This window comes from Homo sapiens, chromosome 3, assembly GCF_000001405.40.
Source record: "Homo sapiens chromosome 3, GRCh38.p14 Primary Assembly".
In the NCBI taxonomy this organism is placed as follows: domain Eukaryota; kingdom Metazoa; phylum Chordata; class Mammalia; order Primates; family Hominidae; genus Homo; species Homo sapiens.
This window is the reverse complement of record NC_000003.12, coordinates 85,389,467-85,403,945: the sequence shown is the minus strand read 5'-3', so window position 1 is coordinate 85,403,945 and position 14,479 is coordinate 85,389,467. Positions and strand designations below refer to the sequence as shown.

General features: G+C 34.1%; 1 protein-coding gene across 11 annotated transcripts in view, besides 1 other annotated feature; it reads right to left on the bottom strand.

Annotated features, from left to right (window-relative positions):
* CADM2 (cell adhesion molecule 2) overlaps nt 1–14,479 on the bottom strand; it is a 1,115,441-nt gene that overhangs the window by 670,484 nt on the left and 430,478 nt on the right. The window lies entirely within an intron of this gene.
* Nucleotides 9,703–9,934: a silencer, noted in NCBI's record as "fragment chr3:85443162-85443393 (GRCh37/hg19 assembly coordinates)". NCBI's record gives its function as "represses an EF-1alpha promoter that drives an FKBP-Casp9 reporter gene in an ReSE screen in K562 erythroleukemia cells {active_cell/tissue: K562}" and the evidence as "EXISTENCE:reporter gene assay evidence [ECO:0000049][PMID:32094911]".

Below are 14,479 nucleotides of genomic sequence, written 5' to 3'. Positions count from 1 at the left end.
AGCTTGTTCACAATATATGATTCAGTTACAGGATTTGGCAAAAAGTACAATACTTCTGATTTTCTTTAATTCAATGCATTTTTAACATGTCATACCAACATAGCCATTGTCCTCAGCACTCTTCAGCTAAACACATATGACAGCTTTGAATATTGTGCTGGATGAACTTATGAGAGAAATACTTTGCTTACTTATAATCTTCTGGAAGTTTGAAATCTAAAAACCCATATTATGTTTATATGTCAACAATAGAAATAAATTCAAGTATATGAGTTGAATGCTCTAATAATACCTGAACTAGTTGCATTCATAAAAATGCCTTGAGCACATTTGCTGTGGTGGTGGTGAAGACCAGATCTGCCTTATTAAGAGCAAGATCTCACCATGCATGTCTCTGTATAACATTAAAGGCTAACTGCATTTCAGAGGACATAATCACTGACTCTGAAGACCAAGTTACTTTTTTGTTTGTTTGTTTTCCATAAACATGTTACAAGAAAAAATGAACACATATACAAGCATACGGTATTAATTATGAAGGAATTAGGTACTAACATAAGTGCAAGAAATGCCCTTGAGAAAGAGAATGTGAACACTAACATGTGAGGATGCCACTGAAATATTAGTTCAATGCACTTTTTTACTCAATTTCGGTTTGGTGTGCAGTAAAGAACTACATACTTAAAATTTAAAGAATACAATGTCGCTTCATCCACATGAAAACAATTTGAACAATACGAAATCATCATGAGAGGGATAGTTAAATTCTAGTGGGTCTCCAGAATATGTTTTAAAGATTAAATTTTTAAGAAAATTTCATTCATTTTTTCTTAAACCTTAATACTTCCAAAAATCAAACAAAAATACTATTAATACCTAGCAAATACATCTTAAAGGAGAATAGCTTCACCCTAACCTTTCAGGTATGTTTACCGTGAGGCAATAATGATGCTGAAAATACGGTTCCTAGCAAATCATTAAATTATTCATTACATTTTCAAAATAGATGGACTGTATATCTATATCTATATTAACATCACACAAGATATCAATTTGAAAATGATTTACTAGTCTTTCCAGATGGGAGAAACACAATTTTTTCCCCAAAGTTCTTGTCCTGAGGGATTGAGATTGATTGCTTTATAAAATTCATGGTGACAAAAAGATTTACAGTTTTTGATTATAGCTTCTAACACAGGCATTGGCATCAAGAGGTATTACTTCAAAGACTGTGCATTTTAAAATGAATTGGTCTTGAGGAGGACCTCTGGTGACCTCCCAGACTCAAATTGCAGAGTCACAGTTTGTTCTGACATTCTTTCTCACTGCTTTGGTCAGTCTCTGTAGTTCATACACTTAATAACAAATTGATGGATTTTTTTTTATATTAGGTGCTTCAAGATTTTATTGAGAAAAATATTCTTTTGCGACCTACACAAAATAAAATATGGAGAACAATACATTCTACAGAGTAAAATAAACAAAAAAAACTAAGACAAAAATTTATACAGGATGTAACTAATAAATATATGTGAGCAAACTTACTGAGTTTGATGTCCTTTCCAATGCTAGTGTAGCTATATAGAAGGAATTATGTATAACTTAAATATTATCTTATAATAGAACTTATATATTTAAAAAAATCTACCTACTAAAAAAATACTATTATGGTTTCTAATGTAGAGTATAAATATCTAAACAGATCTTTGTTTTTGTTAAGGTCTTGTAGTTTCTCTTTTGCTTTTCTGTTAGTATTCTTCACAGAAATGGTCTTTATTGTTTTAAATCTATGTAAAACATTAATCATGGTTTAAGTATTAATGAAACTTTTATTTAAATGAAAACATGATATTTATACTAATTATAAAAGATCCAAAAATGTAGAAATAACGTATTTCTATGAATTATAGTAAATCTACATTTGAACAATACTATTTTAGGTAATATACCACTATCAAACTTCAATAAGAATAATTGTAGCATTAGTGAAATAACGGCAGTTAAACTATAAAAAGAAAAATCCAAATATCTCTTAAATAGAGAAAACACAGGCAAACATCTTGCAGTGGTTGTGACTGTTCTGTGTTTGGCAGGTGTGAAATTTGAGTAAACATACCTGTGCTCCTGACACTAAGCCCCAAATCCCAGCTTAACTCAGCTACTTTTGGCGGGGGTGGGAGAGGTGGTGGTAAAGGTCCCCTCTTTCCTTTGTGTCTGGTCAATGTTGGCAGGCAGGAGAGAGGACTACAGGGTCCCTCCAAATGTGTAAACTAAGAGACCCAGATTTCAATAGGAAGAAATGAGGGAAAATCGATTGAAACTAGCAAGTTCTTAAAATGGCATGGATTTTCTGGGCATCCAGAATGTCCTCCTTCAATCTAAGTGTCCTTGGATAGATGCGACTTTCCTCTAGGGGTGACACAGTGACCCCTGCTCCTTTCCTCCTGTGGCCCCTCCATCTTCACCACATGCCAACCAAGTTTCCGCTGGGATGGGTCTCCCACCCACCAAGCCATCTGCAGAACAGTGATTCTTGAGGAGAAAGCCATCCTTCTGTTGCCTAAACTTGCCACCTTTTATTTCTTTAAACTGAATCTTGCTTCTAGTATCTCTCTGGCAGACAGAGGCTGAGAGGATCCGTGACCGTCTACTAAGACACTGCCATGAGTGACTCAACACCAGTACTTTTACCAGTGAGAAAAATAAAAGAACCATTAGCTGAGGCCAGTCCACGGATCCTGAACGGGGCTGTGGCTCAAGCTGCAGGTCCCCCCATGAGTGTGGTAAACAGAGCTTCTGGTCCAGCTTAGTGGTGAGAGGAGGAGCCAAAGGCTCAGAAGGATAGTTGTTTGTTATTGTTGTTGTTTAAAATGCATCTGTTTTTCAAAAGGAAATCATCATGTCGAAGTTCATAACCTGTTTCTGAAAGTAAAGCATTGAGCCACTGTTGTGGGTTGGAGGCAGCAGCCGGGAGGGGATTTTGGTCAGGATTCTTTAGTGTCAGATGACAGAAATACAACACAACTGATTCACAACTAAAGGAGGAGTTGAGGTAAGGATGTCAGGGGTTGATGACACAAAAGAGAAGTGCTGAAGAAGCCATGGCTGCCCTGGAAAGTGAGATCAGCATTAAGGACTCACTGCTCCAAGGAAACCCTCCGCCTGCGTCTTGTCCCTGAAATTACCATCAGAGAATAATATAAACACCTCTACACAAATAAACTAGAAACTAGAAGAAACTGATACATTCCTGGACACATACACCCTCCCAAGAATAAACCAGGAAGAAGTTGAATCCCTAAATAGACCAATAACAGGCTCTGAAATTGAGGCAATAATTAATAGCCTACCAACCAAAAAAAGTCCAGGACCAGATGGATTCACAGCCGAATTCTACCAGAGGTAAAAAGAGGAGCTGGTACCATTCCTTCTGAAACTACTCCAATCAATAGAAAAAGAGGAAATGCTCCCTAACTCATTTTATGAGGCCAGTATCATCCTGATACCAAAGCCTGGCAGAAACACAACAAAAAAAGAGAATTTTAGACCAATATCCCTGATGAACATTGATGCAAAAATCCTCAGTAAAATACTGGCAAACAAAATCCAGCAGCACATTAAAGAGCTTATCCACCATGATCAAGTGGGCTTCGTCCCTGGGATGCAAGGCTGGTTCAACATATGCAAATCAATAAATGTAATCCAGCATATAAACAGAACCAAAGACAAAAACCACATGATTATCTCAATAGATGCAGAAAAGGCCTTTGACAAAACTCAACAACGCTTCATGCTAAAAACTCTCAATAAATTAGGTATTGATGGGACGTATCTCAAAATAATGAGAGCTACCTATGACGAGCCCACAGCCAATATCATACTGAATGGGCAAAAAATGGAAGCATTGCCTTTGAAAACTGGCACAAGACAGGGATGCCCTCGCTCACCACTCCTATTCAACATAGTGAATCAGGCAGGAGAAAGAAATAAAGGGTATTCAATTAGGAAAACAGGAAGTCAAATTGTCCCTGTTTGCAGATGACATGATTGTATATTTAGAAAACCCCATCGTCTCAGCCCAAAATCTCCTTAAGCTGATAAGCAGCTTCAGAAAAGTCTCAGGATACAAAATCAATGTGCAAAAATCACAAGCATTCTTATACACCAATAACAGAGAGCCAAATCATGAGTGAACTCCCATTCACAATTCCTTCAAAGAGAATAAAATATCTAGGAATCCAACTTACAAGAGATGTGAAGGACCTCTTCAAGGAGAACTACAAACCACTGCTCAACGAAATAAAAGAGGACACATACAAATGGAAGAACATTCCATGCTCATGGATAGGAAGAATCAATTCATGAAAATGGCCATACTGCCCAAGGTATGTTATAGATTCAATGCCATCCCCATCAAGCTACCAATGACTTTCTTCACAGAATTGGAAAAAACTACTTTAAAGTTCATATGGAACCAAAAAAGAGCCCGCATTGCCAAGAGAATCCTAAGCCAAAAGAACAAAGCTGGAGGCATCACACTACCTGACTTCAAACTATACTAAAAGGCTACAGCATGGTACTGGTACGAAAAAAGAGATATAGACCAATGGAACAGAACAGAGCCCTCAGAAATAATACCACACATCTACAACCATCTGCTCTTTGACAAACCTGACAAAAACAAGCAATGGGGAAAGGATTCCCTATTTAATAAATGGTGCTGGGAAACTGCCTAGCCATATGTAGAAAGCTGAAAGTGGATCCCTTCCTTACACCTTATACAAAAATTAATTCAACTTAAATGTTAGACCTAAAACCATAAAAACCCTAGAAGAAAACCTAGGCAATACCATTCAGGACATAGGCATGGGCAAAGACTTCATGTCTAAAACACCAAAAGCAGTGGCAACAAAAGCCAGAATTGACAAATGGGATCTAATTAAACTAAAGAGCTTCTGGCCAGCAAAAGAAACTAGCATGAGAGTGAACAGGCAGTCTACAGAATGGGAGAAAATTTTTGCAATCTACTCATCTGACAAAGGGCTACTATCCAGAATCTACAAAGAACTCAAACATATTTAGAAGAAAAAAACAACCCCCTCAACAACTGGGCAAAGGATATGAACAGACACTTCTCAAAAGGAGACATTTATGCAGCCAACAGACACATTAAAAAATGCTCATCATCACTGGCCATCAGAGAAATGCAAATCAAAACCACAATTAGATGCCATCTCACACCAGTTACAATGGCGATCATTAAAATGTCAGGAAACAACAGGTGCTGGAGAGGATGTGGAGAAATAGGAACACTTTTACACTGTTGGTGGGACTGTACACTAGTTCAACCATTGGGGAAGACAGTGTGGTGATTCCTCAGGTATCTAGAACTAGAAATACCATTTGACTCAGCCATTCCATTACTGGGTATATACCCAAAGGATTATAAATCATGCTGCTATAAAGACACATGCACATGTATGTTTATTGCGGCACTATTCACAATAACAAAGACTTGGAACCAACCCAAATGTCCATCAATGACAGACTGGATTAAGAAAATGTGACACATATACACCATGGAAAACTATGCAGCCATAAAAAGGATGGTTTCATGTCCTTTGTAGGGACATGGATGAAGCTGGAAACCATCATTGTCAGCAAACTATCACAAGGACAAAAAACCAAACACTGCAAGTTCTCACTCATAGGTGGGAATCGAACAATGAGAGCCCCTGGACACAGGAAGGGGAACATCACACACTGGAGCCTGTCATGGGGTGGGGGAAGGGGGGAGGGAAAGCATTAGGAGATATACCTAATGTTAAATGATGAGTTAATGGGTGCAGCACACCAACATGGCACATGTATACATATGTAACTAACCTGCACGTTGTGCACATGTAACCTAGAACTTAAAGTATAATTAAAAAAAAAAGAAAAAGAAAAAGGCTTCTGGATGTCACCCTATTTCTCCTCTGGCAGGAATCTGGCTACTAACATATGCAGTCTAAGTTTTGAAAATAGACTTTTGTTTGCTTTTTAATTGTGGTAAAATATTTAAAATCACAAAAATTTATCATTTTAACCATTTCTAAGTGTCATGAAACATATTCACCTGTTGTGAAACCATCACCACTATCCATTTTCAGAACTTATTCCATCATCCCCAATAGAAACTCTGTACCCAATAAACCATAACTAATCAATACCCCTCCCCCTCAGCCTTCAATAGTCTCTATTCTGTTTTGTGTCTGTATGAATGTGTTTATTCTAGATAACTCATGTAAGTGATTCATACAATATTTGTCTTTGCATGTCTGGCTTATTTCACTTAGCATAATAGTTTCAAGTTTCCTCCTTGTTGTAACATGTGTCAGAACTCCATTCCTTTTTAAGGCTGAATAATATTCCACTGTATTATATAAGCACGCTTTGCTTATCCATTAATCTGTTGATGGGTATTTTCGTTATTTCCATCTTTGGACTATTGTGAACAATCCTGCTATGAACATAGGTGTACAAGTGTCTGACCATCTCCTCAATTCTTTTGGGTTGTATATAATCACATACATAATTCTGGATCATATAATAATTCTACTAGGCTTAGCTCTTTGAGGAATTACAAAGCTTCTGTTCCACAGTGATGCACAGATTTCAACTTGTCCTCATCCTTATAATAACTTGGTATTTTCTATTTCCTTTTATATAATAGCCTTCTTAATGTATGAAGTGATATCTCACTTCTAATTTTGACTTACAAATTTACTAATGGCTAGTGATATTGGGCATCTTTTTTGTGTTTACTGGCCACTTGTTTATCTTCTTTACAGAAATGTCTTTAAAGTCTTTTTCCCATTTTTGAATTTGGTTGTATTGTTGTTGTTGTGTTGTAGGAGTTTTTAAAATATATTTTGTATATTAATCTCTTGTCAGATATTTGCTGTGCAAATATTTTCTCTCATTCCCTTGGTTGTACTTTCATTCTGCTTATAGTTAAGTTTTGATAAACAAAAGTCCTTAATTTTGATGAAGACCAATTTATCTAATTTTTTGTTGTTGTTGCCTTTGCTTTTAGGTGTCATGTCTAAGCAATCATTCGCAAATCCAATGTCATGAAAATTTTCTTCTAAAAGTTTTAAGCTTATAACTCTTTTGTTTAGGTATTTGATCCATTTTAAATTAATTTTTGTATGTGGTATTAAATGAGCCCTACTATATTTTTTGCATGTGGAATGTCCAAAATTCCTAGTAATATTTATTGAACAGACTGTCCTTTTGCCATTGGCTTATTATTTTCAACATTAAATATCAAAGACATGTTTAAAGTCTTGAAAAATAATGAGTAATGCAAAAAATCATCTATCCATATTTCTACAGACTGCATAGCGTATAATTTTGTAGGTATTGGATTACCACAAAATCTAGATTTGCAGGATTTGTTGCTGCAATAATTTAAAATATAGTGTAAAGAAAAATATATTTATTTAAGCAATTATATTTACCAATAAGATAAGAGTCATTGCCAGTCTCATAGGAAATAATAAAACTAAGTTATGAAGTTGATGATCATTTTATCATGAAAAAGGGGCTCCAGTTATTTCTCATCTTTCCACAGTAAATGCTAAGATGATAAAGTGAAAAAATAATTATATATGAATAATGACATCTAATTGGCCAAGAAAAAAACTAAGATCACAAGCAGCAAGCAAGAAAACTTTACAGCTTCACTAATCTACATTTACCGATGAAATAAATGAACAGTTAAATATTTAAAATCTCCAATTACACACAAAAATTGTTACATCTTCAGTCGGGTAAGGAAAATTTATTTTGAAACATTAGACTTTCTTCAGAATCAATACTGAAAATATAATTGCATATTTATTTTATAAATTATCATTATGATAATTAAATATAATATTCAGAATCAATACTGAAAATATAATTGCATATTTATTTTATAAATTATCATTATGATAATTTAAATATAATATAAATTATAATATTTTATAATTATCATTATTTATAAAATAACTTAATATTAACATTTATTATCCTCGGAAGACAGTAATTAAAACATGGGTGTGATTTTTAAAGTTGCATACAACATCCAATCTTGAATAACTATTAGACATAATTCTAAAAGTTCTCAAGAATTCACTTCAATCACTGATGTGTAATTTGTGACTCTTAAATTATATAAACTTCATATTGATTTCTTATTTTCTTTTGAGAATGTTAGCCACAAGGGGCTTTTTCAAGATGATATATGAAATGCTGATCTCATAAGCAGACTGGGTCTAATGAACAGTTTATATATTCCCATGTTTTTATTCTTCTGAAGAAAATCTACAACCTTTTTGGAGTAGCAAACAATTTCATATGAAACAAAGTCAATCTCATCTTTAGTGTATTTTAATGCTGGTATCGTTTCATTTATATTTGTTAGACGGCAGCCAGAAACATTCATTTTGAGTTTCAATAAATTTTTTTCTGTCTAAGTCTGTATTAAATTCAATTGATTTTAAAGTAATAATGTTACATTAGATTTAAGTATTTTATAATGCTCTAAGAGGTAGCCAATGTCTTATGTTTTTCTATACATATACCCCTTCTTTTTCTTTCCTTTTTTTTTTTTTTTTTTTTGTATGGAGTCTTTCTCTATTGCCCAGGCTGAAGTGCAGTGGCATGATCACAGCTCACTTCAGCCTCAGCCTCCCAGGCTCATGTGATCCTCCAGCCTCAGCCTCCCAAGTAGCTGGGCCCACAGGTATGCACCAATACACCTGGCTAAATTTATCTTTATTGCTTTATTTTTTTTTTAGAGATGGGGTCTCCCTATGTATCCCAGGCGTGCATTCGTTATTTGGGTTGTTGTGTTTCCCAGCAATAAGATTTCATTATTAAAAAATATTACAAAAAACTGCTTATTTTCCTGAATTTGTTAAGTATCATACATTAAATGTTACGATATTTTAGGAGAAAACTATGGGAAAAGTTTTGTGAAGATCAATAAATGTAAACATATCACTGGAGAATATATTTTTGTCTTTGCATGAGAGACACATTTTTATAATTCTACATTTTGGATGCACTAAGCATCTTTAAAGCAGAAACAGGGATGAGAAAATATAAAATAATTGAACAGCAATAATACCCTACAGACTTTTCTCAGAACTCCTTCTTTACTTTGACACAATGAATAGCTTATAAAGAATGATCTGATAAATATCTAAATCATGATAAATGAAGTCCAAGGAAGAGAATACAAAAATGTGAACTGGCTATAAAATAAGCCACGGTTATATGAGTACAATAAGTCCAGTTAACTTTACACAGATTATTTAACATTGAGTCACAACTGAAAGCTTTTTTTAAAAAAAGCACAGCTCTAGCTAGATAAGAGGAGTTATTGCTTTTACAATTGAAAATGAATTATTTACATGTAAAACTAAATAAAATGAGATCAGAAAATTCTAAGGTTATTTTTAACCCTGCTCCAATAATACAAACATTTACTGGGTAATCTTTAAAATATTACCTGTGAAATATAATGCATAAGTTTTCATATCATACCTTATTATGGAAACAGGAGCCCATAATTTAGTGGTTTGGAATTGTTCATTTTATTTTAATTATGCATTTATTATGGTAATAATATTAATGTCAATGGAAAACTCAAAAATGTAGTAATTTATACCTCTGGAATGTATAGTTTATGGAAGATATATCAACTATAAAAGAATAACCGAGATAATTCAAATTAAAAAAATTATTTGTAAACTAATAATTTAACTGTTTTTTAAAAACACAGTTTTCGGCTATGCATCTTAAAAGTAACTATTTCAGGCCAGGCGCGGTGGCTTACGCCTGTAATCCCAGCACTTTGGGAGGCCGAGGCGGGTGGATCACGAGGTCAGGAGATCGAGAGCTTCCTGGCTACCCCGTCTCTACTAAAAATACAAAAAATTAGCGAGGCGTGGTGACGGGCGCCTGTAGTCCCAGCTACTCGGGAGGCTGAGGCAGGAGAATGGCGTGAAACTGGGAGGCGGAGCGAGTAACTTTTAAAATTAATGCCAAATTTAAGAAGCCTCATAATATATTTCACTTCTTTAAGACAAAGTTTTAAAAACAATAATATATTTTGATAATAAATAAGAGCAAATATGTCGTTATTAAAAAAAATCTTAATGGAGATTTACGCACAAAAGGGGTTACGATCTATCTCGAATCTTACAAGGTTAGTATCAGAGGGCTCCATTAAAAGAAGCACTTTAAAGACAAGTTCAATATTTTCTGTTCTGTATCAATAAATCTCTTTCTAATATGCCACCTCTTCCATGCAGTTTGATAAAGCTTCCTTATGATTTTTCTCCCTAGGCTGTATACAACTTCTGGAATCCCAGAGCTTATAACTTTAAGATAATTTATGTCTCAGAAAATTCTGAGCCCTTCTTAGAGCTTCAGCAATTATTCCTGCTTGGATGACTATCAATATCTACTTTCAACATTCACCTCCATTCTGCAGTTCAGAACAGCTTTCTCCCATCATTGACATGTGCTTTGGGAATTTCTAATTGTTTGTACCACCATCACTTCCAAATTAATATATCTAAGTCAAGATCATCATCCTTCTCCCGGACCACCTTTCCCTTTGGACATCATTATGTGCGCCAAATTTACCATCAAGTTCTGAACACCTAAACTCAAAACATGAGTCACTTTTTGACTTACTGTATACAGCTAGTAAATCACTGATTTTTATTAGCTCTTTACAGTTCCATTGTCTTGTTATTGTCTTTCTTACAACTATCATTTATCCTAGGAATTTTTCTTTTCTTTTTTTTTTTTTTAAAGAGTTTACTTTTGCCTCCAGGTTTTCTCTTCTTCAACTAATCCTGCAAACTGCATCCCTGAAATTGTTCATGGAATTCAGCTGTACAAGTTGATGAAAACTGTATTTGCTTCCAATTCACTAAATAGGGCAAGGAATCATTGTTCAGATGTGTTTTAGTATACAACACAGAAAAAGAAAATTAAAAATGATAGTAAGAATAAATATGAAGGCCTCCATGTGGATGAGAAAAATATCATTACAAATGTACAGGTGAGGAAAAGCTAGCTGAACAGCAATTCATGTTTTGCTTTGTTTTATTTATTAAGTATAGGATTTAAATGGATTTTCTAAGTTTATTAAGCTCATTACAAAATCAAGCTGTCCATAAAGAGTTTATAGAATTTTGAGTCCAGAAAAAGAACTTTACTTTTTATACTGTATTGACCAGAATTTACCTGGAGAATTGTTTTAACTTGAAGGGGCTGGGAGTGCTGCTTTAAAAATCTAATAATAAATAGAAGGTTATCAATTCAAGTGTTATTAGAATTAGGAGGATGTATGTTCTGCCTAAAGAAGAAAAGACTTAGATGGCACATACTCTCTTGAAATATTTAAACACTGTCATATAGAAAACAAATTAAATTTATTTTGTAGACTCCAAGAACAAACTAAGATATTGGTATTTTTGAGGGCTCACTATAAATTAATAATCAATAATAATTATAATAATCTGTTAGTTTCTATAGCCTGTGTAACAACACAGTTATGTGGCTGCATTGATAGAAAAGCCTCAAGTCAACATCTACTAGGAAAAATATTTAAGTTATATCAGGTGTAAGAACATCAATATTAGTGAAAGGGATTTCTTTGATTTTTTTCTCATACTTTAATATTGAGATGTAGCAAGGCAAGATTCTAGCAATCTAACTCACTGTTCTCAAGCATACCAAATATTTAGAAATGTAATTTCAAAGTCCTGGCATCTTTATTATTTTATCTTTCTTAAGTGATTTTGAAAATATTATTTCTGTTCTACCAAGAGAATTTTTCCTTCACATCCCCAAATTTTCTTCTCTCCCAATGCTAACACTCTTTCAAAATATGACAGGAAGCTTGTAACAGCTTTTCTGTCATTTGCAAGTGTACAAACAGAGACTGTTTTGTCTTTTCTCAAATTCACAGTGAAGGGAATTCTTTTGAACATTGTAGAATTCTATTTGAAAGTGATCTGGCCACAACCTCTTCAGTCTTTTGAATATCCGTGTTGATTCAGCTAATCCAAATGGTTAGGGAGAGATTATCATCCACCTGCCCCATGCATATGCAGGTTCTAAACCGTCTGAGTAGATCACCTTTTCAGAGAAAATAAATAAACAGACAAATAACAAATCTGTATCTAAGAATATGAAATGGTTATGCTCCCCTGCTGGTACTGCTTGCTTGGTTGGCACTTTGGCCAAGATAATTTTAGTATCCTTATCAAAACAAAGATTTGTATTGCACAATATAATTCTTCTGTTGTGTCAGGTCTTGACTATTGTTGCTATTGTTGTTTTTAAGTTTGCAATTTACATATGAGTCTTCGGTCTCTGCCTTGCCTGAAGAGCCTTCCATCTTGTGTATCCTTTATAGCAGTCTTACTATTCCGACAAAATTTGGGTTAAGTTCTGTTTCCACCAGAAAATCTTCTCTATTTACCCTTAAACATCTATAACCTCTTCCACTGAAAAATCTTATCTTTATATCTCCTTTGGAACTATCACTCTTTAGCATTCTTCTATGTCCTCTTTTTATCACAAAACTATACTTCTGTGCTTCCTTTTTTCCGTCTTTCTGTTTTAGTCTTTTATTTCTTTCAACTAGTATTAATTGAACTCTTTATCAATGCATTAAGATCTAGAATTACAGATACAATAGACCCAATGTATCCTTTAGAAACTCCCAATCTATTGGAAAGAAGAAGTAAACGACTGGCAAACTCAGGTGGGTATAAGTACTTCATTGGAGGTAATCAGCACATACTAATGAAGTATAGCCTCTGGATCTTCTCCTAGCCTTGTTCAACTGTACATTAAAACAAATTAAACCAGATTATTCCTAGGTGTCTAGATGCACCTAGGAATATATGCATTTAGCTCTCTGGAGTATCTTTCTTCACCTTCTTCCTACCATCACATGAATACAAGTGAGTAGCTGCCCCAGGGATATAGCAACACTGAACTTGAGGTTTTTAAGTAAAAGTTAATCTTTACAATTCGGCTGTAAATGGAGGAGACTGGCATGTACAGGAATTCACAGAGCTGAGGAGGCTGACTTTTTAAAAATTATTTTGAAGCTAGTTGAGACTTGAGAAAAAGAGGGAGTAGGCAGTAGAGCAGAGATTATTTATGTGTTGGCTATGAACTGAAATGCATTTTATATTTGTTCACTTTTCAGGATGAAGATTTGGTTAATTTTGGTTCTTCAAGAGTCAGATCCCAAAACAGGATTAAACCTAGAGGAAAATATTAGAGGAAACGCTTGTGAAGTATAAAGAGGAGAAAACAGGAATAGACATTGGATACAGGCCTGACCTCCTACACCTAGAAGGATAAGGAAGGAGAGTTACATAGCAAGAGTGTTAGACTGTAGCAGAGTTCAGAGAAAGTTTTGGCCAAGCTGAGATATAGATATATAGCAGCATCAATGAAGACAGAAATGTGTGATTTTACACTTCAATACCTTGGAAAAAAGTAAGCAAACAATCAGGAAGAACCACGATTGAAGTGCAATTGATTAAGTAAGTTAGGGACATTGACAAAGAGTTAACCAATGATTTTAAAGGTTATGTCTTTTTGAAATGGAACTGAAGCCTCAGTCAGGGAGAGTTAATTCTTTCTCCATGGAAAAACAAAGAACTATGTTTTAACTTATTTTTTTAAATCCTCAGAATCTAGCATGAGGTCTCCCATTAGAAATTCATTATATAAATATTATCTGGATGAACAAATGTATAAGCCAAACCATTATAATTTGTTTTTTATTGTGTTTTTCATATTTATATAATTCTTTTATTCCTTCTTATATGTATATTCACTAGTTTGATTTACTATGCCGATTGTGGCTTCATGAAATTAGGATGCTGACTTGTTCTTTTACTCTACAAGAATTGTAAAATATGCATACATTTTTAACATTTACTTGCCCTTTTATCAACAATTCTCTTCAGAAAATCATTAAATAGGAAGAGTAGAAATAACACATTAAGCATTTATTGTCAACGTACTTTGCAAATATCAAATGAATAGTCAGTGCTGCATACCTGGCCTTGAAATTCAGAAGGCAATCCATTGTTTTTCCATTTGATTGCACACACATTACATGGGATCTAGAAGTTTTATAATACAAAAAAATCATAAATAAGAAAAAGGAAAACTACTGGAAAAGTTAAGGAGAATCAGAAAATATAGGAAATGTCTCTAGTAACTATAAAGAACTCGGCAAAAGAAGGACATGAGTGGTACAGATAGTCTCTTTTGATCAGAGAGATTGGGACTTGAATTTGAATACACATTATATGGTATATATCAAATATTTAACACAGAATACAGAGAGAAATGTATTATGTAGAATAGATACAGAAAAATAACATAATAAATT